A 26,656-nucleotide genomic window follows, 5' to 3' on the forward strand; every position below is an offset into this window, starting at 1 on the left:
CTCAAATGTCACTGGGGAGTATGACTCAGTAGAATTTGTTCTTCTAAAGTAGGTAGCAGCCAACGATTTCTGTAAAGGACTAAATAGTAAGTATTTTAGTCTTTGTAGGCTATACAGTTGCTGTTTACAATGGCTTAATTCAGTGTTGCAATGTGAAAGCAGCCATATCCGATGTGTTAAAAAAAAAATGGGGTGTGTGTGGCTGTGTTCCAATAAAACTTTATTTAAAAAAACAAGCAGTGGGCTAAATTTGGCCTCTGGGTCATAGGTAGCTGATCCCTGTCCTAGATGATAATCACCAGAAAAGATAACCAGTTCATTCAAGTGATTGCCCAGTGAAATAATGTTCTCCAATTATCTTAGGAAGTTCTAGATTGAACTGTATGTTAAACAAAGATGCCTGACCCATTCAAAACCATAGTCTTAAGGGATGAGGTGCTGTGCATGGGACAGGGAGACCTGCTGGTGACTGTAGCTTGTCTGTCTATTCCTCGTAGTATGTTCACGGATCTCCATGTTTTCTTCAGGCACATCAGTGAGACTAAATGGTGTAAAGTCCTCCCTTCTTGTCTCCCTGGCTCCTCTTTTGGGAAACCCAGCCTGGTATTATAGTCTGAGTATTATTCATAGTCCCTCATTTGTCAATTTCCTGGTTGCTGCCCTTGCTAATCTTAATCCATTGCTTATAGGAGGGACTGGGTTCCCTCTTAACCTTTTACAGCCTCAAAACCCACACAAGAAGGCAAGTCACACTTTCCATTTGTCATGCCTACCCGTTTTCCCCTCCCCCTGCCCTTCTGGCTCTCATAGCATTTTCTCAACCTGGGAATAAATGGAAAGATGCCTAGCGATTTTCTTTTTTTTTGATTAAAGACTTCAAGTCAGGTTATTTAATTCATTTGCAGACTCAGGCAACATCTACTGAGCTAATAGCCACTAGCAGAACAAAAGGCAAGGTGGGGCTGGCAGGTGTTGGAAGCAGTCACCAAGATAATCTGAGGTTTGGCATGTCCTGTTTTGATAGTAAAAAGCTTTTAAGTACATTAAAAGATTTCCAAATGTCCAGAGGATGTGGGAAAGCTAATAAGCATGATGGTAGAGTCCTTGGTAAGTGTGCTGTGTATGTGGTGACTAATCAGAAGTATGGCTGCTATTTAGTTTTTGAGGGAGCTCAGGAGGAAGGACCTGGCACTCAGAGCTTCAGTTGATTTCATGAGTGTAAGGATCGGAGCCAGCACTCAACCTGTGTCCTCAGATGGGCAAAGGGAGAAAATCTCTTTTCCATTTTCTGAGTCATGATACTTAATCGCGACCAGCTATCTTCTTTGGGGTTTTTATTTCTTTGTTCCTTTCCCATTTGCATTGTTTCCTAGAGTTTCCATGAGCAGGAACTCAGTTTTCCACGGAGCTGACTCATCCAACCCTCTGCTGTCAGGTTTAAAACAAATATAATTAGAAAACCTACAGCTGGGCAACATAAAGGTTGTAAACTAAACTCCCTAAAGTCAGGGGAAACAGAGTGAGTCACTTATGTGTCTGGATGTAAAAATGCTTACATTTAGCTACTCAACTGGTCATTGAAAATAGACTACCAGGCAATCAAGGGAGTGAGCATGGGAGGTGAGACACGTGGGACTAAGTTCTACCTGTAAGAATTATCCATTTGGGGTAGGTTTGGTTGGTTCTATTTCCACTATAAGAACTGTGGCTCATGACCTGATATATCTTTCTAAGTAGAGGTGGCAGGTTCCACTGTGAGAGCTGGGCACTTATTGTAACAAAATTGAGCAATCTGGGGAGAATTGTTCTAGTGCAGAGAAAATGGCTTCCTGCTCAGGATTGTTTTGAAATGCATGGCCTCTTGAATCACATACCATGCTTGTTCCCCTAGCAAAGCATAAGACTTGTTATGTTTTTAGAGTTTACTTGTTCTGAGCTGTGAGGATAGAGACTCTTCTTTTCCCTTTTCAATCTTTAATCTCCGAGTTCAGTTTTCTCTGCACATAACTAGAGTTTGGCAGTCTACATTATTTTTCAGATGGATCAACTCTTCATCAGGAGAGACATAAATAAAGCTCGTGGCTTGGCAAATGGCTTTAACTGTTTTAGTCTAAACCAATTCTCCAACGTCAAGGGCGAGGGCTACCTTCCTTGCACGTTTACTGTTCAACAAAATTGGCTTCTCATTCCATCATCTTTTTCCTGAGAAATAAAAGTGCATACTGCTGGCCGGGCATGGTGGCACACGCCTGCAATCCCAGCACTTTGGGAGGCCGAGGCTGGCAGATCACGAGGTCAGGAGATCAAGACCATCCTGGGTAACACAGTGAAACCCTGTCTCTACTAAAAATATAAAAAATTAGCCAGGCATGGTGGCATGCACCTGTAATCCCAGCTACTCGGGAGGCTGAGGCAGGAGAATCACTTGAACCCGGGAGGCAGAGTTTGCAGTGAGCCAAGATCGCACCACTGCACTCCAGCCTGGGCAACAGAGCGAGACTCCATCTCAAAAAGAAAAAAGTACATACACCTATGAATTGTCTTATTATCTTACTACTATATTAGCCTAAAATGACCTTGTGGGGCCCAGGGCTATTTGTAAATCAGAGTTTGGGTTGTTTTTTGTCAATCTTTGTATTTTGCTGTAGATGAGACTTACGTAGCATAATTACACTTTTTTTTAAAATTTAATATAGTGGAAACCTAGAGATATCAAGATGGAAAGAGTGACAACTAAGAGATATCTTTAAAATGTTTGCATCACTAGATGTGTGCTTGATTTTGGAAAGGGTAGGAAAAGCCCAGCCTAGCTCTGATAGGGATACTTAATCCCTGTACCAAGCAGATCTATTCATTTGCTAATCTCATATATTGATTGTCAGTAAGACATTAATACCATGTTTTTTCTTTTTCTTTTCCAGCAACATCCATTTTTCACCCTACATGAATCCAAAGGAACAGATGTGGCATCTTTTGTAAAACTGATTCTTGGAGACTAAAAAGCAGTGGACTTAATCGGTTGACCCTACTGTGGATTGGTGGGTTTCGGGGTGAAGCAAGTTCACTACAGCATCAATAGAAAGTCATCTTTGAGATAATTTAACCCTGCCTCTCAGAGGGTTTTCTCTCCCAATTTTCTTTTTACTCCCCCTCTTAAGGGGGCCTTGGAATCTATAGTATAGAATGAACTGTCTAGATGGATGAATTATGATAAAGGCTTAGGACTTCAAAAGGTGATTAAATATTTAATGATGTGTCATATGAGTCCTCAAGCTTCTCAGACTTCTCTTATTCTTTACAAAATGAATGCATTGGCCCTGACAAAAAGGTGCTACGGTAGTGATGAAATTATAAGTAGATTTGTAGTTTGTCCCATTTATTATTTTAATATTTATGTTTAAGTGCTTGGTTGAAAAGATTCCATTTTATACAAGAAGGGAGATTCAAAAAAAAAATATAAGGTTGGGTTAGCAATATTTATAGGGCTTTTATTTTTTAAGTTCAATTGTGTCTGTGGTCCAGAAGAAATTATTTAATATGCATCTTTGAGAATATTATAAAAATATCAAAAAGGAGCTCTTCTTGTGAAATGTCTGTTCCAGCTGTTGTGACTGCTGCCATTTTTGCAAACATCTGCCCAATCCTGGGTGATCACCACATCTTTTAGGGGAAGTGACAAGATGCTCTGGTCATACTCTTTTTCCCAACTTTGGAAAACATAAAAATCACTCATATAACAGCTCAAAGAGTAAAACATTTGGTTCTTCTGACACTTGTGGTATAGTATTAGTGGAAAGTGATTTGTAATATGATTTTATATCCACCTACCTATTCATCTACCTGTGTGTATGTGTGTGTTTGTGTGTCTATTTGGCAATTCACAAGTCCTGCCAAGTGGTTTCTATGAGCATCTCTGTTTGGTAAGGAGGACAATTGTCAGTTTTGAGGGGGACATGTGTTAAATCACAGAAAAAAATGGTGCCTTCTTCTGCGTTTGTCCCTCCTGCCATGTGTAAGTTGTAAGGATTGCCTTTGTAGTTAATGTACTCTTTGGCTTTGTTTGTTTGTTTTCTTCTTCAGTGAAGCAGCCTTACTATTCATAGAAGGGCTAGAATAGGAGAAAATGAAAGGTAGTGAGTAATTCTTTGATAAGATGAGGAAATAATGGGAAAGGTTGAATTAATTCCTGGGCATGGACTACCAGATGACCACAAGTTGCGTTGAGGCCGCATCTTTCTTCAGCAGCGTGCAATAGCTGGCTCCTCTATAGGAGATGAGCTTCATTGGGAGTTCCTAGCAAGTTGACTAAACAGCAAAAGTTCTTTCTCGTGGGTAAATATACCCACAGGTTCTATGATTTGTAGCTCTAGGTTTCTTGATGATCAAGGAGTGAAGTAATTGACAGGGAAAATATAGACCTATGATAAATAACCAGGAAGCATTGCTTTTGGACAAGGAAGGACAGAGGGTTTTGATTTTAAAAAGAAGAAAAAAAAACCTTATTTTTTCTTTCTTGGCCTCAAGTTCAATATGGAGAGGATTGCTTCCCTGAATCCTCTCTTCCTTCCCCTTTTAGATTTTGAAGTGCAATCATATGTTTTTCTCTGTTTGCATTTTTTCCTCCTTGTTCTTGACAAGGAGGAGTTGCTCCTGCCCAGAATGAGCGTGACACTTCCGAACACTTCTTCATATTCAGTTCCAAGATATATCTGCTTGATTAAACATGAGCTTCCTCTGCTCTGAAGCTACCTCTGTCCTCATTTTATTCTAGCCAGAAAAGGAGTATCACCCTAGTGATTATGGCTGTTCACTTTCCCATCTATCTTCCTAAATCTGGAAGTTCTTCTCTTGGAGATCAAGAGAAAAATTACAATTGTATTCCTTACTTTATTCACCCACCTATGAAAACAGGAAGCAATAGGAAAAAAAATCCGGTTACTCCATTTTAGCTTTTGGTGAACGATGTAGAGCAAATTGTCTCTCTGGTCTAGGTCCGATTACTCTTACCTGTTTTTCCACTTTGAGACATTCTAAACAGAATGTGTAACTTCTCATATGTATGCCTCTCCCATCTGTGAACCTAGGCCAAAGTTGCAAAAACAATCATATTAATAGTAGAGTAGAGAAAAAGTTAGTCTATGGTTCTCAACCCTCGTGTACATTGGAACCATCTGGGAGCTGTGAACACTGTCGCTGCCAATGTTCCAGCCACCAGAGATTTGGATTTAACTGGTGGGGCCTAGGAATTGGTGTTTTTTTGTTTTGTTTTGTTTTTTACACACCTTCATGTGATTCTGATGTGAAGCTGGGTTCAGAACACTTATCTAGTACCTTCTAAAGAGAACTGACTTAAATTTACTTTCTTTTGAACATTTGCAGGGAGTAACATGCCATTGCAGAAAGTAACAAAAACAGGTCCTATTTCTTTCCCTGTCCTCATCAGTGGAAATCTCTTTGTCACTCTGAGAGAAGGCATGTACCTGGGATACTGATAGGAAGTGTAGAACACCTTTTCCCCAGAGAAGCAATATTTTGCACTGTTATTAAATATCTTACACGGTAAAGTCAAAAGAATGACCTGATAGCCTCACAAGACTAAATTTTAGAGCATGGTTTTGTTTTTGGAAAACTGTGTTGTAAGTGCCAATCAACCAACTTTTGAAAAAATCAAGATACCTAAACTATATATAAATGGGGAGTATTCTGTACATATAGACTTATATATAAAGACATCTGTGTTCACGGATGACCCTCAAAATAGTTAATGCCCCACCAGCATAGACCATCTGAATATCAGCCCTGTCTACACCTATCAATGTATTACAAAATCAGTATAGCTCTACAAAAGAGATCATGCTTATTTCCCCAGATGTATTTGATTTTGTATCATATAATTGTCCATGTTATAATTTTTGAAAATGTTTATTAAAATAGCCATCTTTTTTGATATTATTGGTTTAAGAGGTGTGCCAAAAAAAGTAATATGCATAACTTTTAAGACTATTACCCTATGTTTGTACGTATGAGTGAATATTGCCCACCAGAGTAGCCATCTTGAGAGACTACATATTTATATTCATAATGCTATTAAATTATTTTTGCCACTCCTCTTTCAGAAAAGGCTTTAGAATCCACTCCCTCCTCTGAGATGTGTGTCATCATTTGAGAATTCTTACTTAGGTTTTGTTGTTGTTTGTTTTGCTTTTTACAAAAATCCTTAGCAGATGTTTCCCTCTTTGATTTACCTGCCTTGTTTATCAGATTTTGCACAAAGTTGTGTTTGACAATTTCTAGAAGTTAAATCTTCCCTCAGAGCTGGAGTTTTAGCATCATTGACTCTTTGTAAAACGCCATGTCATGGGCTCTGAAGATAATTTCAAATGAAGATTTCCACACCCCGCCCCCACCACCCCTGCCCAAAGTGCATGATTATTTTTAACCAGAGTCATTCTTCCACCAGAATAAGTGTAATCTCCCAAAATGACTACTTTGAAGGAGATAGAACCCCCATAAAGGTATATGTTTGTTGATAAAATATCAGGTCATCACGGATTTTGCAAGTGAAAGTCACCTATCTTCTATGATTGAAGGTCCTGATGTGGGGGAATAATCTATTTTTTCTAAAGACTGTGTTTGGTCACACTGATTTAATCAGAACAAATGGGTTAAATAAGCAGCTTTTATCACAGTTAAGCCATCTGAAATGGAAACGAGTATGTATGGGCATGGCTTGAAATTGTTTGTATTTTACAGTTCTTGTATATCCTTCAAGCCTAACAAAAAATTGTATGTGCCAGAGATTCCTAAACTTTCTGTGTTCAGGGTGCCATTAGTTGTCTTGGTACTTTTTTCATGGTGCCCCAGGTCAAAATATATACTTAATAGTTCAGTGTTTTAAGTAATTAGGTCCCAACAGCTTAATAATAGCAGTTTGCACAGTGTCCTGCATATATCACTATATTTCCCTTAAAAATTTCCAGCATTGGCTGAGCATGGTGACTCACGCCTGTAATCCCAGCACTTTGGGAGGCTGAGGCAGGTGGATCACCTCAGGTCAGGAATTTGAGACCAGCCTGACTAACATGATGAAACCCCGTCTCTACTAAAAATACAAAATTAGCTGGGCATGGTGGCACATGCCTGTAATCCCAGCTACTCAGGAGGCTGAGGCAGGAGAATTGCTTGAACCCGGGAGGCGGAGGTTGCAGTGAGCCGACATCGTGTCAGTGCACTCCAGCCTGGGCAACAAGAGCAAAACTTCATCTCAAAAAAAAAAAAAAAAAATGTACAACATCTTGCTTAGCCTGTGTGTGTTCTGTGGTACCTTGGAATAGCTCAGTACATAATTTGGGGACCACAGATATCTATTATGCCAATGTTTGCACTGTCTGCTGTTGGTGACCCTCAAAATGAAATTCTTGGCCACTCAACTCTCCACATTATTTCACTCTTTGTTTTGTTATTATTAGTATTCTTCTTGCTTGCCATTGGCTAATTCATTTTTTAACTGCAACCCTACTCTTCTTTGCTGTTCATCAGCCCTGCAATGCCGTAGTGTCTTAGTCTAGAAAAATGCAATACTCAAAAGCCCCAGCATTGGAGGAGGCTGGTGCTAAGATGGACAGGGTTCCTGATTTCTCTCATTGAACTTGATTTAGTGTCTTGGGAATTATAATCTCAAAGGAGGCAGAGAGGGGTTAATGTTGCATAATTTATCACTAAAATGTCTTTGTTGACCAAGGGGCTTTATTAATTATGCTCAGAGAAACAATTCTGTTTCTCTTAAAAGTGTCTAACAAAACACTTTTTTCTTTGGCCTGAAAGGACAATGGATACCTAGTTCCTAATTTCCTACCCAAATGCTGTTTTGGCTGTGTTACTCCCTCTGCCCTCGAAGCTAAGATTTATATATTTACAAAATTTATTGGAGCTGGTAGTCAGATCTAGTAAAATGGATTAAATGTCAATTGTGCTGGGATTTTGCCTTAACATCTATCTATGACTTGAAGAGGGATTTGTTGGCTCAAAGGATCTTCTGCTTTTAATGAATTAGCAAGTGAAAAGGTATTTGAATAAATGTCAACTTCATAGGACTTTTTTTTTTTTTAACTTTTCAAATGGAAGGTGCAGTTTTCAATTAGGCCTCTGAAAATTTACATAGTCAGATGGAAAAATGCCAGAGTAAAATCTAGGAAGAAGGAGCTACCAGACCCGATAGAATAGAAAGAAAGCTATTTTATTCTCGGAGGTCTATGTTCCTCTTGTGTTTGAGTGCCTCTAGCACTGTTAAATGTGCTGACAGCTAAAGATGCTCTTTGGGTTTTTTTTTTGGCTTTAATTTGGGTACTATGGATTCTTTTGGGAATTTGTTGAAAGCTAGGACCTTTTCCCCAGGAAAATTTACATTGTATATGAAGCACATAATTTTGCAAACTTTTTTTGGTTGTTGTTGGGAGGGGGTTGCAGTTTATATACTCCACGGGGTTAGTAGCTCTGTTCTGTAGAATATTGACTGTGACATCCTAGACCACGGTTGGCAAACTTTTTCTGTATAGGACCAGATAGTAAATATTTTTGGCTTTGTGTGTTATACCATCTCTGTCACAGTTACTCAGCTCTGCTGTTGTATCATGAAAGCATCTATACGCAATACACAAATGAATGAGCCTGGTGGCTGTGTTCCAATAAAACTTTATTTACAAACCAAGCAATGGGCCAAATTTGGCCCACAGGCCATGGTTTGCCAACACCAGTCTTAGAGCATTAAATATAAAACTCTGATTAACTAGATATGTAGAGTTCTTCCATTTTAGTGACTATTGAGCTCAGCTGCTGTTGAGGCAGATTAGGAAGATGGACATAGGAAACTGGATTCAGAAAGGATGAGGACTGTTTAGTCCCATGAAAGTTGCTTGTTAATGTCCTCAGGTAAGTATGAATTGTTCTGGAAGCTGATAGAACAATTTTCTTCAGATCAAACTGAAGTACTTACTTTTTCCATTTCTATGCAATCACCAACATAATTTACTTCAATTTGGAAATAAATGTCACAGTTCTCTTAGTTGTTAACTGTATCCTTGGCTTAGGTTATTTGCATTTTCTTTCTTTCTTTCTGTAGTGTGGTTTATACACAAGGAGAATCACGAACCCAGACACTAGTCAATCTCTCTATTCCCTGACTTGTACTGAGATTGGGGAATTTGGGAGGTCAGACTTACCTCAAACGTAGAAGAAGGCAGATAGAGTTCTTAACCTTTTTCAACTTAGCCACCTCAATTATTTGTTCACATTTTAAGGAAGTAGGAAAGAGTAGTTTGAAGTCACAAAATTTGTTCTCAGGTGTTCTTAAAGCTCCCTGTTCTCACTGCGACAGAAGACTCAGGCCTACTCATTTTGTGCTGTCCCACAAAAGTGAGAGGAGTACTTCTCTTTTTTTAAATCATCAGTAAATTTCAATTTTAAGGGGCCTATGCAAAATGCCTCCTTTCTGATGTGATTTTCTTGGGTTGCTGGCCCTAGTTGAATTTATGGGCCCTGAAGCCTCTAGTGGAAATCTTGTCTTCCCTATAGAACGAGAACAGCTATGTAATTTGCTTCACCTTCTGTTAGGACTTGCACCCTCTTTGCCATACAGAATGCTATAAAAAGGACAGTCTGCCAGTGACCGAAGCTTTCTCATTTTTTTTTCTTCCAGAACAATAGCACACATCTTGGTTAAAGCTATAGTCTCCTTATTATTCAGAAATATTCTTTTTCCTGCTGCACCATTAGGCAAACATACATTATGCTTAGAATGATACTTGGAAACTCCTTAACAGGGCATATTGAAGTATTTGATCCAGCAACTTACCTAAAAGAATGTTTGCTCTTCACCTAGGGAAATAAAACCTGAATTTCAGAGCCTTCAAAATGAAATTATCCTTCCAGGGGAAGCACATTGCCACCAAATACATCACTCACTACCTGTTCCTGGTGACTACATAGAAGATGTGTTATTTTTCTGAGGTTTAGAAAGTCACTGTTTACAGCTATGCAAATATTGTACTATTACAGATTTTTCTAATGAAGTAGTTTGAAATCAAGGCTTTAGTGGAAGGTAATCTTTTCAGTTTCTGACCCAGATTTCTTTTTCAAGCAAAACTCCTCTGAAAGCCTCTTTGCTATAGAGGTGATGAAGGCACTTGCTAGCCTAAGCAGAAACATAAAGTAAAAAATTTTGTAGTAGGGAATTTTTGTTGGTAAGAAATCAGTATCATCTTGTAACACAAACACGTGTTAATAGAACTTAAAAATACTCAGCCTAATTCCTTGGGACTTTCAGTATCTTGACATCACTTGTATTATCATTTGAACTTGGACATTGAGCCCTTTATTTTTGGGAGTTTACAGTTAAATTTTGGAAGAATTGTGTTGTATTTCTTTCTTAGATGTTGTCAGTATGAACAGAATTTTTTTGTGAACAGTTAATCTTGATGTGCTCCATAGCTTTCTCCAGTTTACACTTTTGCATTTCTGAGATTCAGGGTCTTTTTCAAGGAAGGAGGCTAATGTTTAAGGCCTGGAGGCTGAATTCAGGGAGCGTATTGGCAAGTTTAGGCACTTACTTGTGTCTTAATGTGGGAAACAGAACTTTCTAAGTAATCTCTGGAGTTTGTAGCTTAGACCAGGCCTTCAAAAGTCTTTTCTGTTTTCCTTTGCTACAATTTGCTTGTTATTTCTCTGCCGGTCACAGATGACCTGGACTGACTGAATGCTTTTGTGGTAAGGAACTGATCTGGCCATTTTCATATAACAAAAATCAAAGTCAACAATTTTGTATCAGGCTGCCTAAATGAACCCTATTGTTTCCAGTTCTTAAAAATTTAAGGGCTATCTAAGAAAAGTTTAAGCAAAACCCTCATTCCAAACATGCGACCTTATAATAAGAACTTCCTTTAAAGATGAGCAGCAAGGTTGGGTATCTGATTTCACTAAGTAATATTCTATTGTGGTCAGAAATGGGTAATTTGCATCATTTGGTCACTATCAATATTTGTGTTGGAGTCTGCAAGATATTTCAACAAAGTAAGCCAAACCACTATCTTAGGGGATTGTTGCTGGACTTTGGAATATAAGGCTGAACAGTGATGTGAAGTCATGTTTGGGGGCTGGAAGAAGTGATAAATGCAAAGGTTGGTGCTAAATTAGGAACCCCTTGAAGGAGCAAGCTGATTAAAAAAAAAAGCTGGCAGACAAGTATATCTTTTAATTTATTTGCAGTGTTGCTATATTATAGAGATGATTTCCTATGGGAAAACCCATCAAAAAGCCAAACCTTTATTGTTATTTTTCCTTAAAAATACTGAGCTATAAGAAGATTCAGAGAGTGGCATTAATTTGGGCATCAGAACATTTTCTTTTGTATCCCTAGTGTTATTGATTTGAAAGAGTTACCTTTTCAGACAGATGGCTGAACAAAAGTAAATGATTAACGGGAAATTTGATGGTTGAGAAAAAGGAACGATATGCCTAAAGCATTTTGAGAATATACCCCTCATCCATCAGCCACCTCTGGGTAAAGAAACACAAATACCAAAGCCTGAGCTCCTTAACCTTTTGTTCCAGAGGGCAGACATTTTTAAGAAAGGTGAATGTTAGAGAAGGTTACCTGATGAGCAAGCTTCTTTCCCATAATTCAGAGAACTGTGAATGTACTTAGAAATACACTACAGGTCTTCACCAGATGAACTAGATTTTATAATTTTAAAATATAATACTGAAAGCTAGTTTGAAGTTTCAGAAGCCATGAATTATGGGGAAGGAGTAGTTTTTTATTTTATTTTATTTTTCTGATCTCAAGTTGTTTGTCCTGTTGTATGTTCAATACTTGGGGAGATAAGAGCGAGGTACAGCTGTGGTTTTCAGACCATATTCAGTGGTGCCCCTGAGGGTCTCTTGTGAACAGAAGGGAAAAAGAGTGTGATGAAGGTGAACTCTGCCTATCTGAACCTCTGTCAACCTCCAGTCAGAATATCTGGCTTCTAGTATTGTTCCTTTTAACTGGAAGTCTCTGTGGCCATTAAAAACTTGGGAACGTTGGATTAAATGACCACTTTAGGACTTTAAACAGTCTCAAATATGGGAAATTTTATAGCCAACCACGGCTGTGAGTCCCTGGCTTTTGCCGTACTGAGTATGCTCACAGAGATAGGGAGATAGGTGGCCAGAAGACAGGGTCATTTAATTTTAATTGAGCATAAATCATTTTGAAAGAAAAATGCAAGGAATTGTTGTATGACAGCCATGCATTATAGATCCTTACATGCGACATTTTCCTAAAGTGGTTGAGAATGACCTGATCTTTGTTCACCGTCTCAGTGACAAGGCGTGGAGTGACTGGGCTCTTCATATGCAGTGGAATTTTTGCATCTCTAGGTTTGCAGAGGCAGGAGTTACCGTTTTTGTTCATTGACCTATCAGAAAAAAGCAAATCCTTTGGACAATGTTGACACAGACAGGGGTACGGTCTGAGACTCAAGCTAACAGAGCTACCCCTTGCTGCCTTTTGCAAAGGTGTTGTAGGTGGAGAAGGGTAATGGAAACCTGGTACAGCCTTTAGAAGTTGGAAGCTATGGTGGTGTATCTGTCATGAACTGCACACAAGGGAATGCTTAAACACCAGCTGAGTCATATCAGGTGCCTTGTACACACACATAAAGAGTCTGGTGAATTCTGACAGTGTTCTGTTTGCCACTAGAGCAAATTTAATAGCTGGGGTTTCACAGCAACTGTTTTAGAAAACTATATGTGCCAAAAATTTACATTGGGCAGCAGTTTATAGTGTTCTTGGCCAATCTGCATAAAAGCCACTTGAGGAGGTTTGATTAAGAAAATTGTGTTTATCTCCTGTATTACCTCTGTGTTTGATTTATTCTTTAGTCTCAAATTTATTTTCTGAGTGGACTGATTTTCTATATGAACTGAAATGATGTTTTAATAGAATAATAGGTATTTTTAGAGGAAAAGTATTTTTTTGTGTAATTTGCTTACACAACTAGGACATACTTCCTATGATACTGAATCATCAAATTGAGTCATTTAAAGCTGAAAGAGGTGTTAGGAATGTAGTTTCACATTATTTAAATACATGAACAGTTTTCTATATATTTTGTGAAAATCTTGATGAGACACTAGAATTTCTTTATGGAATTGAACTTTACAAGAATTTTAATAAAAGAGGTGGATTTCTTCAGCTTTCTTTGTGCTTCAGTTTCATAGCTGAAAATGCTGCTTCCGTTTATTAATATGGACTTTGTAAGGAAACACAACAACACGTTTTCTTACCTTCTGTAAATTTTGTGATAGACACATGTTATTTGTATATATGATTGATTGTTTGCCTGTTGCACCCTAAAGTTATTTTCAAACCATGTTTATTGCAAAGAGAGCCTTTGGGCAAGTGGAAAATGCCCTGATGCTAGAATGAGGTAGTTCCATAAGCTAGTTAGGAGCTTGCTACCTCTTCTTGGTACCTGAAATATTCTGAAAGGATATCGGAGAGGTCCTATGCACCCCTGTCTTTCAAAACCCACCTCCAGCACTTCAAAGTAGTGTCTCTGGAGAGTTTAAAATAAAAGAATGAATGCTATTCAGTGGATTCCCTCATTGAGGCTCCCATCTTTCCTGCCAGGTGCAGCTTTTTCTGGTTGGAATCATCTCTTCTTTACGGATTGCCGCATTGTCTCTTTGTGAATGAGGCAGGCTGAACTGTAGAGCATGAAACTCATTAGAAGTTTATAAAGTAAAGACCTGTAAAGCATGTGGGTGGAATGTTTCCATGCTCTTGAGGTGAATATTAAATTTAAATTCTGGCCTTTGGGAACTCTTTGCTTGTGAGCTGAAGAAGGAAAGAAGGAGTTGGGGGTGTATATCTAACTGTGTTTTTCTATATGGAAATATATGAGCATCAAGTGATAACTTCAATAAGGCCTCAGGATTGTATTTAAAATACCTGTTTTGTGGGACAGCATGCCTTTGTTTTCTTTGCCTGTTGGCTTTGGTGGCTCCAAACATTTTCATTTTAGGCTAGCTTTCCTGTCACCCAGGTTGTGTGCATTTTTTTTTTCATTTGAACTATTGTTTATCATTATTAATGATGTTATCTCCAAATCCCAAAGCCAAGGAAATAGCCAGTATGCAGGACTTGCAGTAGATATAAGCATTGGTGTTAACATAGGTTAAGTTTTGTTAGTGTTCCCAGAAATATACTGAATTGAGGGATAATGTAGCTTTAAAGAAATTATGTTTCTTTTTAACATTTGGAGAAGCCACCTGTCCTGGGTCCCTATTCTTGAGAAATTCATCTTTTCATGCAAATAACATTGATGGGGGACAAGACTGGATGATTGACTTCTATCAGTCAGTAGACAAGGAAGTATAATAATTGCCAAAGGTGAGGGTAATTTTGCCTTACAAGTATGTAGGTCATTCTGTGGTGGGATTTCCCATCACATCTAGTAAAAAACAACCTTTTCATTTCCCTCCTTTCTAATCCAAGATCATATTTTTAAAAAGTAGGTTTCTGATGTGCCATGAAATATTTCTGTGAATCTGTGTTTTTGACCAAGGAAACAGCTGAGATATTAAACCATGTGGTTGTTCCACGGTTCATCTGGCTACCGTTCTGGGTCCCCTCTGACCACCTCAAAAAGAAAATGAAATTGGGAGATTAAATCAAGCTTGACCTCCTCTTTTAATGAGGAACTTTCACGTTGACTTCCTATCTCAGGATATTCTTCAGTTTCATACTGCTGAGGAGAAAGGAACAAGCTGCAGACACTGTAACTGGTCTCCAGATGTGTGTATATGCGTGTAAAACTTCACACCGTGTGTGTTGTGTTCAATGTTGTGTCAATCTACAAACTGACTCAAACAACAGTTTAACGATAGAGAAGACAGTGATAATGGCAAAAAAAACACCCAACCACCTTTTTCCGTCAAAGTGCTTGCTATGGCTTTCATAGCTGGGACAAGTAACATTAAGTATTCAGGAGCAAAGTGTTCTTGAAAGAAAATGGTGTGTTGATCTCATAAGAAAATGTACAACCAATAAAAGACATTTTAAAAAGCGTAGTGAGTCTGTACATTAATTGAGTTGTTGGAAACCCTATATTCCAGGAACATGGTATAAAAGGCTCTCCCGGTAAAAGCTTTCCTGGACTATATATTCTTGTTATTCTTTCTCTATGCTTTTCCTATTTCTACCACCGCACTTCCCAAACAGACTAGAACAAAACCTAACAACACAACAGTATTGCAGTCGTATTAGTCTGTTTTCATGCTGCTGATAAAAACATAACTGAGACTGTGCAATTAACGAAAGAAAGTGGTTTAATGTACTCACAGTTCCACGTGGCTGGGGAGGCTTCACAATCACAGTGTAAGACGAAAGGCATGTCTCAACATGGTGGTAGACAAGAGGAGAGAGAGAGCCCAGCAAAAGGGTAACCCCTCATAAGACCCTCAAATCTCTTGAGACTTACTCACTCTCATGAGAACAGTATGAGGGAAACTGCCTCCATGATTCAATTATCTCCCACTGGGTCCCTCCCACAACACATGGGAATTATGGGAGCTAAAATAATTTGGGTGGGGACACAGCCAAACCATATCAGCCGCCCTGAAGACTCATTAGAAAATCATTTCAAGGCCAAGCGTGGTGGCTCACACCTGTAGTCCTAGCACTTTGGGAGGCAGAGGCAGGCAGATTGCCTGAGCTCAGGAGTTTGAGGCCAGCCCAGGCCACATGGCAAAACCCCATCTCTGCTAAAAATACAAAAAATTATCTGGGTGTGGTGGTGCACATCTGTAATCCCAGCTACTTGAGAGGCTGAGGCACAAGAATTGCTTAAACCTGAGAGGCGGAGGTTGTTGCAGTGAGCAGAGATCATGCCACTGAACTCCAGCCTGGATGACAGAGTGAGACTCTGTCTCAAAAAAAAAAAAAAAAAAAAAAAAAAAAAAATCATTTCTAGTCTACTTCAGACTCAATATATTTGTTTTTTTTTTTTTCTTCCCCAAGACAGAGTCTTGTTTGGTCGCCCAGAGCTGGAGTGCAATGGCGCGATCTTGGCTCACTGCAACCTCCGCCTCCTGGGTTCAGGCAATTCTCCTGCCTCAGCCTCTTGAGTAGCTGGGATTACAGGCATGTGCCACCACCCCTGGCTAATTTTTGTATTTTTAGTAGAGACAGGGTTTCACCATGTTGGCCAGGCTTGTCTCGAACTCCTGACCTCATGATACGCCTGCCTCGGCCTCCCAAAGTGCTGGGATTACAGGTGTGAGCCACCGTGCCCAGCCTCAGACTCAATATTATTATAGGCAGCCTAGGTTGGAAGTGAAGGCCAAGATTTTATTATTAAAATCAGATGGCTTTTGGTGAGGATGAGTCCAGATGGATCAAATGAAAAGATTAAGACCAACTGTCTTTTGGCTTCCATGTGTTGCTGACACTGAACTATGGGGCCAAACTAGTCATTCAAGTTTTTCCTGGTCCTATAGGTGTAATATTAGGATATTTGCTTTACGTGATCAGTCAGTGCCATGATCCAGATGTTCTGGGAAAGAAAATCTTAGTACAAGTAAATATGGTTGTACTTAGTACAAGTAAATATAGTTGTACTTAGTACAAGTAAATATAGTACAAGGCACAGTTCTCTGATTTCTCCTATAAATGGAGGGACTAGATCCATTTGACTTGTATCCATATTAATCCAGTTTAGAGAAAAATTGCTAGACCTGAGTGTTCCTGTTTGAGTGGATCACCAGTTATACCAGGAAGCACACATTTATCTCTAGCTTGCTGCTTTTGTTTTTCTCAAACTTTTTTTTAATTTTATTTTTATTTTAAGTTCCAGGGTACATGTGAAGGGTGTGCAGGTTTGTTACACAGGTAAACTGTGTGCCATGGTGATTTGCTGCACCTATCAACCTTCCACCTAGATATTAAGCCCAGCATGCATTAGCTATTTTTCCTAATGTTCTTCCTCCCCCCACCCCCTACTTCCCAGCTTAGTGTGTGTTGTTCCCCTCCCTGTGTCCTTGTGTTCTCATTGTTCAGCTCCCACTTATGAGTAAGAACACGCGGTGTTTGGTTTTCTGTTCCTGTGTTAGTTTGCTGAGGATAATGACTTCCAGCTCCATCCATGTCCCTGCAAAGGACATGATTTCATTCCTTGTTATGGCTGCATGATATTTTGTGGTGTATATGTGCCACATTTTCTTTATCCATTCTATCATTGATGGGCATTTGGGTTGATTCCATGTCATTGCTATTGTGAATAGTGCTGCAGTGAACATATGCGTGCATATATTTTTGTAAAAGAATGATTTATATTCCTTTGGTTGTATATCCAGTAATGGGATTCTAGTTTGCTTCTTAAACAGACTGATGCTGCTGAATCAGAAGTAGATTTTTAAAAAGCCCTTGGTGTTTCACGTCAGATTTAAATCATTTCAAGAGTTAGAATCCAAAGGAGAGGGCTCACTCTACTTCTGTGTACGTTACTCAAATGACTTCCCAGGGACCATGAACTCTATTATGCTGACTTTGGAGTCCTTCTCCCCTAAACTGTATCAAGACTGTCATAATCCTTCATCATTCTTAAGTGACAGGCCTTCCTTGACATTACAAATTTTAAGTTCCTATAAGGGTGCAGGTATGTGGAGAGGGAGGGCATGAACAAACATGATTCTCAGACATCACATGTGAAGGTTATTTTATCCACTTCTCCACAGCCATTCTTGATTTTTATATAATTAGATTTTGAAGTATTTTTCTTTTGATTTGGATAATTCCATCTTTTCCCCTCCTCATGTTGACTGATACTAATTTGCCCCATCAGAATGATTCCCTGTTTACTCAAGATTTTGTAGGAAACTGAATTAAAGTAGAAAATGGAGAAAGGAAATTGGGTTAATAACAAAAGCATTTTGGGGTTGTTTCTTGATGTTTTGATTATGTACTTAAACACAGCAAACCCAAAAACTTAGTAGCTTAAAACAACAGTTTATTACTGACAATCTTGAGGGTTGACTGGGCTCAGCTGAGTGGTTTTGTTTGGTGTTTCTCATGCATGTGTTGTCAGATGGTGGCTGGGGTGAGAGTCTTGGAGGGCTTTGTCCATCACATGTCTGGTGTCTGGACCAGGGGAGCTGGAATATCCAGGGGCCAGTGGAGCATCTCTTGCTTCATGTGGCCTCTCTATATGGCTAGATTGGGTTGCTCATAGCCTGGGCATCTCATAGTAGTTGCAATTCTTTCATGGAAGTTGTACTTCCCCAGCTTTAGTGATACAGAAGGCCCACACAGAAGCTCCAAGTTAATCACACAGTGTAATTTCCACTGTGAATAGTTGGAGGTTATGCTTCATGGTGAGGATGTCTGAAAACTAATTACCATGCTTGGTTAGTCTAATACAGTTAGAATATGCCAGTAAACTTTAAAATCTGATCTTATTCCTACTTTCCAAAATTGGTGGCCAAGAGGCAGTGGAAACGATGTATTAAAATCAATGATGAAAGTGGAAAAACAGTATTAAAATTAATATTAAAATTTGTTTCCATTTATTTATTATCTACAGTTTTGTCAAAGAAAGCACTTTGATCAAAATAATCTTATCCTACAGAGGGTAAATTGGCCATCTCTGCCTGAAAGACTTAAGCCATAGTTGGAATTAAAATGACACAGAAGAGAATTAAACATTGACACAAATGACTCACAAATCTCCTATCTATACTTCCCCACCACCCCAGACGGTCATGGTTCATAAATACTTGCTGAGTAGGTGTTTTTCCTCCAAATGAAGATAGCTTTGTTTTGTATTTTTGAAATAATACATTCTGAGAAAACCTAGAGAATACATACAGGGAAATAAACATTTTCTACGATTCTGAGTTAATTGTTTGTTTCTGTGTTTTTTTTTTTTTTTTTTTCGAGATGGAGTCTTGCTCTGTCGCCCAGCCTGGAGTGCAATGGTGCGATCTCGGCTCACTGCAACCTCCACCTCCCAGGTTCAAGTGATCCTCCTGCCTCAGCCTCACAAGTAGCAGGGATTAAAGACATGTGCCACCACGCCCAGCTAATTTTTGTATTTTTAGTAGAGACAGGGTTTTACCATGTTGCCCAGGCTGTTCTCGAACTCCTGACCTCAGGTGATCCGCCTGCCTCAGCCTCCCAAAGTGCTGAGATACAGGTGTGTGCCACTGCGCCTGGCCAAGTTAATTGTTTATGCACTTAAAAATATATTACTCCATAAAATAATGTCTTTTACAACAACTTGGATGGAGCTGGAGGCCGTTATTCCAAGTGAATTAACTCAGGAATGGAAAACCAAATATTGTATATTCCCACTTATAAGTGGGAGCTAAACTATGAGAATACAAAGGCATAATAATGATATAATGGACTTTGGGGACTTGGAGGGGAAGTGTGGGAGGGGCTTGAGGGATAAAAGACTACATCTTGGGTATAGTGTACACTGCTTGGGTGACAGATGCATCAAAATCCCAGAAATCACCACTAAAGAATGTATCCTTGTAACCAAAACCCATCTGCACCCCCAAAATATTGAAGTAAAAATTAAAATTATATATATATAGTTCTGTATATGTTTCCCTAAAACACAAACACACATACACATTTTAACTACTCCTCCATGGTGAAAGTTTTGATTATTTCCTTTTGATTGTTCTGAAAAATATTCTTACATCTTTATACACCAGTCTAATTGTTTTGGAGAGGTTTTAAAGAGCTGAAGGACCTCAACCACTTTCCCCAGGGCTGAACACCAGCAATATTTTGCTTGTCTCAACGCAGCTCTTTCCTTCCATTTTTGTGGTGCCTATGCCTACCCACTTCCAGGTCCAGCTTTAACATAGAGAAAAGATTTGCCTGGCAATAAACCAAAATCAGGAATTTGCAGTGCTAGAATTTGCCCACATAATCATGTCCTCCTGGTCCTAAAGCTGTATTCCTTGAGTACAATAGAGTATAAGCAATGTCTTTCAGAAATGCCCACATAGGAACAAATGTTCCGCAAGAAACACTTGAAAGAAAAGTACAGGGCATAGGAACAGAGAAATGGAATCTGCCACCGAGAAGCAAAAGGTTGCCCGAGAAGCAAAAGGTTGCCTTTTTTAAACTAGCAGTTTTTGTTTAATGAGTACATCAAGCCAGTAAGAAGCAAGCAGAGAATTTCCAGTTTGACTGGTTCACACTCTACCCGCTTAAAGCCACGTAAGTCTACATGAAGCTAGAGCTAGAACTCTGCAAAAACAAACAAAAACCACCACCACCAACAAAAAACCAACGAAAAAAACAACCTAAAAAAGCCCAAACCCAGTCATCACTTACTCAATGGTCATTAGCCCTAGAAACCCTTTCCAGATATGGCACAGCTATTCTAGTTTATTAAAAAATAAATTTTATTGTGTATATTTAAAGTATACAACATGATGTTATAAGATACATGTAGTTTGTTTTTTTATTTTTATTTTATTATACTTTAAGTTCTAGGGTACATTTGCACAACGTGCAGGTTTGTCACATATGTATACATGTGCCATGTTGGTGTGCTGCACCCATTAACTCGTCATTTACATTAGGTATGTCTCCTAATGCCATCCCTCCCCCGTCCCCCCACCCCACGACAGGCCCGGTGTGTGATGTTCCCCTTCCTGTGTCCAAGTGTTCTCATTGTTCAATTCCCACCTATGAGTGAGAACATGTGGTGTTTGGTTTTTTGTCCTTGCGATAGTTTGCTGAGAATGATGGTTTCCAGCTTCATCCATGTCCCTATAAAGGACATGAACTCATCCTTTTTTATGGCTGCATAGTATTCCATGGTGTATATGTGCCACATTTTCTTAATCCAGTCTATCATTGAGGGACATTTGGGTTGGTTCCAAGTCTTTGCTCTTGTGAATAGTGTCGCAATAAACATACGTGTGCAAGGATACATGTAGTTTAAAAAGGTTACTATGGTGAAGCAAATTAACATGCACATCATGTCACATAATGACCCAATTTTTTTTTTTGGTTTTGTGTAAAGAGCAGCTAAAATCTGCACATTGGGCGTGAATCATATTTTGTTACCTATAGTCCTCATGTTGTTTGAGAAGCTCTACACGGTCCTGAAACTTGCCTTCTCCATCCTTGTACATCAACGCTGCAGCATCATTGCAATCACCTGGGAGCTCATTAACAATACAGAGAAGAATCTGGAGTTCAACACCATCCCCAGGTGATTCGTATTCAAATGATAGCTTAAGAAGTGCTGGTCTATTCGTCTCATCCAGCTGTGAATGTTTGATTGTCAGACCTCAGTTGTTACTGCAATACTTTTGATATTTACCCTGTGTTACAGACAAAAGGTGCTTCTGGTGGTGTTAGATGTATAAAGTACAGTATCTATATTCGATGGAAGGATTTTTGTGTTAAAGTGTATTTAAGTGTATTTGCACTCTAATGTTGGGTTAAATGCCACATTTTTCTTTTTTCTTTTCTTTTTGTTGAGATGGAGTCTCACTCTGTTGCCCAGGCTGGAGTGCAGTGGCACAGTCTCCGCTCACTGCAGCCTCTGCTGCTTCCCGGGTTCAAGTGATTCTCGTGTCTCAGCCTCCTGAGTAGCTGGGAACACAGGTGTGTGCCACCATGCCTGGCTAATTTTTCTATTTTTAGTAGAGATGAGGTTTCACCATGTGGGCCTCAACTCCTGACCGCAGGTGATCCACCCACCTCAGCCTTCCAAAGTGATGGGATCACAGGTGTGAGCCACCGCACCCGGCCTCTTTTTTTTTTTCTTTTAAATTGTAGAGTTATTGAAAAGAAGTAATGGGAAGGAGAAAAGGTGACCCTTATCCTTGCATACATTTATATCAGTTGTAGATAAAATTATTTTATAGATTCAAATTTAATGCTGTTTTAGGGATGCAAAACATTGTGTAGGCTTCATAGCGAAGGAAGTCTAGGAGATAGTGACCTCAAAGCTTAGAGATGATCTAAAAGAATGCTGCTTTTGCTCTCTCCAAATTCAGGAAATTTCTGGTATTGTCTGAGACTTAATGTGCCCCACCTTGGGTCCTTGGAGTTCCTTGCACTGACAGTCTGGTCAAAAACTTCCTTGGCAAGTGGTGGCTCTCTGTCCTCCAAGGAGAGACAAGAGGCAGACTTGGAACATGATGCTATTTGCCTAAAAGTAATCAGCTCAGCTCAGAGCATTTTCCTATGATCCAGAATGACCCTGCAGACTGGAAGGCGAAGAGTTGTTCTTAGACAAGAACTTGCTAAACCACTTGACCTTTCAACAGCTGCAGAACTGTTTATCAGGAGCATGCCATCTCTCTTGGCTCTTGCAATTTGGCAGCCAGAAAAGTCAAGCCAGTGACATCGTGTGCTTTAGAAAACTTCTGGACAATTCACAACTTCCACCATAAAGTGGCTAAATTAGTCTTGCTAGTCAGATAGTGATCTTTGGATGGGTCATCCTTTCCTTGAGCTGGTTGGCTTTTGGGACTCCTTCACTGGAATCAAATGAGTCACTGCTGGAGATAAACATAAATATCTATTTGCCAGAGCCTCCAATTCCCTAAATCGTAGCTGATAGAGAAGGATAGATTAGCTCTGTTTCCAGACACAAGCCTAGGGCAAGTGGCAACTCTGTTTGCCAATAACAAAGAACATGAATTCTCTTCATTTATCTAAGTAATTTCTCAAGAATCAAAGGAGCCAGTGAGCTTTAATTTAGTTTCTCTGACAGTTGTATTTGTGTGCAGAAACATCCATGATTCATGACATACTTTTGCATAATATGAGTTGAAATATGACTTGATAATGCTAATAAAATGGGTGAATAATAATTTCAAAACAATGACACTGGTTGAAAACTCACTCAACAAGAGATGGAGCTCCTGTTGATACTGAAACAAGGAAGGGCCAGGCACGGTGGCTCACCCCTGTAATCCCAGCAATTTCGGAAGCTGAGGTGGGAGGATCTCTTGAGCCCAGGAGTTCGAGACCAGTCTGGGCAACATGGCAAAACCCTGTCTCTAAAACAAAATACAAAAAAATTGACCAGGCATGGTGTCATGTGCCTGTAGTCGCAGCTGCTGGCGGAGGCTGAGGTGGGAGGATCGCTTGAGGCCAGGGAGGTCAAGGCTGCTGTGAGCAGTGATCATGCCACTGCACTCCAGCCTGGACAGGAGACAGAGTAAGACCCTGTCTAAAAAAAAAAAAGTAAAAGGGAATAGGTCTCCAGTCTAGAGCTACAGCCAAGTATGGTGTTTAAAATCTTGGACACATGTCTTAAGCTCTCTGTGCCCCCAATTTATTCCTCCTTAAAATGGAGATAATCATAAGAACTACTTTAGAATTCTTATAAGAATTAAATAAAATATCATCTGTAAGTGTAAGCACTTAGTGTCGGCCACATCATTGTCACTCAATACATTTTTCTTAGTATTATCCTCTAATCAAACCCCTTTTGCAACAAATGTGATTAAACAAATATGTATGTAAAGGAAAGATAACCCAGCAATTTTAAGTATGAAGGTATTTTAGACCCTCAAGCCCAATAATACTTGGCTTTTGTTGGCTGAACGTGTCAGAGCTTACATTTGAGCCACATCTCAATGTTTCGAAAAAATGTTCGTATTTTTCAGTTTGTATATTACACTAAAAACTTTGTTCACCCTCTCATGTAAGTGATAGGGCTAATTTGTTTTTCCTATTGCAAATCCTGTATTATGAGATTAAAACAGTGACAACCACTTTTGAAATAGCAAATGCAATGTATATTGAAAAACATTTTCAGGGTATTCATTAAGATTGAGATATAATACATCAGAAAAAGAGGCAGACTCAATATTTGCTTTTTTTTTTTTTTTTTTTTTTTTTTTTTTTTTTTTTTTAACAGAGATTAGGCCACTGATGCTAAAACACTATAGATTGCTGGGCTATGCTTTAAATACTGAATACACACAAATAATTTCTTTTTCTTTTTTTTTTTTTTTTTGGAGACAGAGTCTTCCTTTGTCACCCAGGTTGGAGTGCAGTGGTGCAATCTCGGCTCACTGCAACCTCCACCTCCCAGGTTCAAGCAATTCTCCTGCCTCAGCCTCCTGAGTAGCTGGGACTGCAGGTGCACACCACCACGCCCGGCTGATTTTTTGTATTTTTAGTAGAGATGGGGTTTCGCCATGTTGGCCACGCTGGTCTCGAACTCCTGTCCTCAAGTGCTCCACCTGCCTTGGCCTCCCAAAGTGCTGGGATTACAGGCGTGAGCCACCGTGTCCGACCTCAAATATTTTTAAATAAACTTTTTTTTTCAAATTTATCAAATACTTGAGAAAGGATTTCATGTGGATTTGAGGCTTAAAAGACATATATACTTTGCTATTCTACTGATACGGTTTGGCTGTGTCCCCACTCGGATCTCATCTTGAATTGTAGCTCCAGTATTCCCACCTGTTGTAGGAGGGACCTGGTGGGAGGTAATTGAATCACGGGGGCAGTTTCCCTCATACTGTTCTCATGACGGCGAGTAAGTCTCACGAGATCTGATGGTTTTATAAGGGGTCTTTCCTTTCACTTGGCTTTCATTCTTTCCTGCCTGCCATGATGTAAGACGTTCCTTTCACCTTCCACTATGATTGTGAGGCCTCTCCAGCCACGTGGAACTGTGAGTCCATTAAACATCTTTTTCTTTATAAATTACCCAGTCTTGGGTATGTCTTTATCAGCAGCATGAAAATGGACTAATACGCTAACTTTATTCTCAGAGAAAGCACAAAGCATATGTCAGTAGAAAGTGTGTCGTGTTTGGCGCCACCCATACCTGGGTTCGAATCTGTGCTCTACTGCCTAATAGCTTTTGGGGTCGAGAATAAATTCCTTCCTTCCTTCCTTCCTTTCTCTCTCTGTTTGTCTCTCTTTCTCTCTCTCTGTCTCTTGGTCTCTCGGTCTCTCTCTGTCTCTCTCTCTCTCTCTTTCTTTCTTTTTTTTTTCTTTTTTTTGGCGGAGTCTCGCTCTGTCGCCCAGACTGGAGTGCAGTGGCGCGATCTCGGCTCACTGCAAGCTCCGCCTCCCGGGTTCCCGCCATTCTCCTGCCTCAGCCTCCGGAGTAGCTGGGACTACAGGCGCCCGCCACTGCGCCCGGCTAATTTTTGTATTTTTAGTGAGACGCGGTTTCACCGTGTTAGCCAGGATGGTCTCGATTTCCTGACCTCATGATCTGCCCGCCTCGGCCTCCCAAAGTGCTGGGATTACAGGCGTGAGCCACCGCGCCCGGCCGAGGATAAATTTCTTAAACGTTCTAAGCCTCAGTTTTCAACCTAAAATAAGAGAAAGGATTAAGAACTGTATGGAAGAGAGGGGAGTGGAAATTGTAAGAAGTAAAGAATCTGGCACCGTGCCTGTCACAGGCAGGCAAACCTCCCTTTGCAGGTGATGATCTTAGTTATCATGGAACCATGGAACACCGTTCCCTTGTGTGTGCGTTTCAGTTATGCACATTTCTGCACGTGTTGCAACATGCAGAACAACAAAATCTATAAAAAGTTTTTAATATATGGCAGTTTTATAATTTCAATATATTAAAAATGTCAATAAGAAAATATAACATTTTGGTTGGGAGCGGTGGCTCACGCCTGTAATCCCAGGACTTTGGGAGGCAGAGGTGGGTGGATCACCTGAGATCAGGAGTTTGAGACCATCCATGGTGAAATCTCATCTCTACTAAAAATGCAAAAATAAGCCGGGCGTGGTGGCGGATGCCTGTAATCCCAGCTACTCAGGAGGCTGAGGCAGGAGAATCACTTGAATCTGGGAGGTGGAGGCTGCAGTGAGCTGAGATCGCGCCACTGCACTCCAGCCTGGGTGACAGAGCAAGACTCTGTCTCAAAAATGAAAAATTAAAAAAAAGAAAATATAACATTTCACTTTAAAAGGAAACATCTGAAACAACAATAAAATTAATGACTGAGCATTGTTTCATTTAATCCTTAAAAAATTGTCAACAAGGCAAGAACCGTTACTGACACCCTTTCTACAACTGGAGAAAAGGAGACCCGGAGGTTCAATAACCAAGTTTACCCAGCTAGTCAACAGACGAGCCAGACAGATAGAGAGGGGCTAACCTCTCTATCTTGTCTCTTTTGGATTTGTGTTAAAACAAAGACAAGGTTTTCTCACTTTCTTGACCCTGAGACTACGTTTTTGGGCTTTCCGTTTTGCAGGAGAAGCAATGTTTTATATGGGCCAATGTGGGGAGATGGATAAGCTGGGACTTTGGTACTCTGGATGATCCAGAAAGGCAGAGCAAATCATTGAGGATCAAACTCCAGAGCAAATTATTGAGGACCAAATCCCATAAGGGGTCAGGACCAGCTCAGCCAGTTCAACTGCAGAGGCGTTGCAAAGGGTAGAATTAGGAGACTCAGTTGGATGGGCAGGTAGTATTCCAGTGGACATCGGGGAAGATCACCAGGACGTCAGCAATTGGGCAGGCTTTAGGGTGAGCTCTTGTTTTGTTAGAGTAGGGCCAGGCAGAATAGAGACTTGGATTTTGATCAGGACTGAGACAGAGTGTGCAAATAGAAACTTAGACCAGGGAACCAACGT

The 26,656-nt window shown here is 39.8% G+C and overlaps 1 protein-coding gene across 7 annotated transcripts in view, besides 2 other annotated features; it reads left to right on the plus strand.

The window, feature by feature from the left end:
- The window catches only part of MAP2K6 (mitogen-activated protein kinase kinase 6), a 139,169-nt gene extending 124,058 nt beyond the window's left edge, over positions 1-15,111 (plus strand). For all 7 annotated transcript variants that reach the window (NM_002758.4, XM_047436411.1, XM_011525027.4 and 4 more), the window contains one exon: positions 2,922-15,111. In NM_002758.4, the coding sequence (NP_002749.2) occupies positions 2,922-2,999 (78 nt within the window). In that variant the 3' untranslated portion in view covers positions 3,000-15,111. The remainder of the gene's footprint in view (positions 1-2,921) is intronic.
- Positions 9,310-9,359: an enhancer, noted in NCBI's record as "active region_12657". NCBI's record gives its function as "activates an Ori minimal core promoter by ATAC-STARR-seq in GM12878 lymphoblastoid cells {active_cell/tissue: GM12878}" and the evidence as "EXISTENCE:reporter gene assay evidence [ECO:0000049][PMID:35858748]".
- Positions 9,540-9,589: an enhancer, noted in NCBI's record as "active region_12658". NCBI's record gives its function as "activates an Ori minimal core promoter by ATAC-STARR-seq in GM12878 lymphoblastoid cells {active_cell/tissue: GM12878}" and the evidence as "EXISTENCE:reporter gene assay evidence [ECO:0000049][PMID:35858748]".

This window comes from Homo sapiens, chromosome 17 (assembly GCF_000001405.40).
Source record: "Homo sapiens chromosome 17, GRCh38.p14 Primary Assembly".
Classification (NCBI taxonomy): domain Eukaryota; kingdom Metazoa; phylum Chordata; class Mammalia; order Primates; family Hominidae; genus Homo; species Homo sapiens.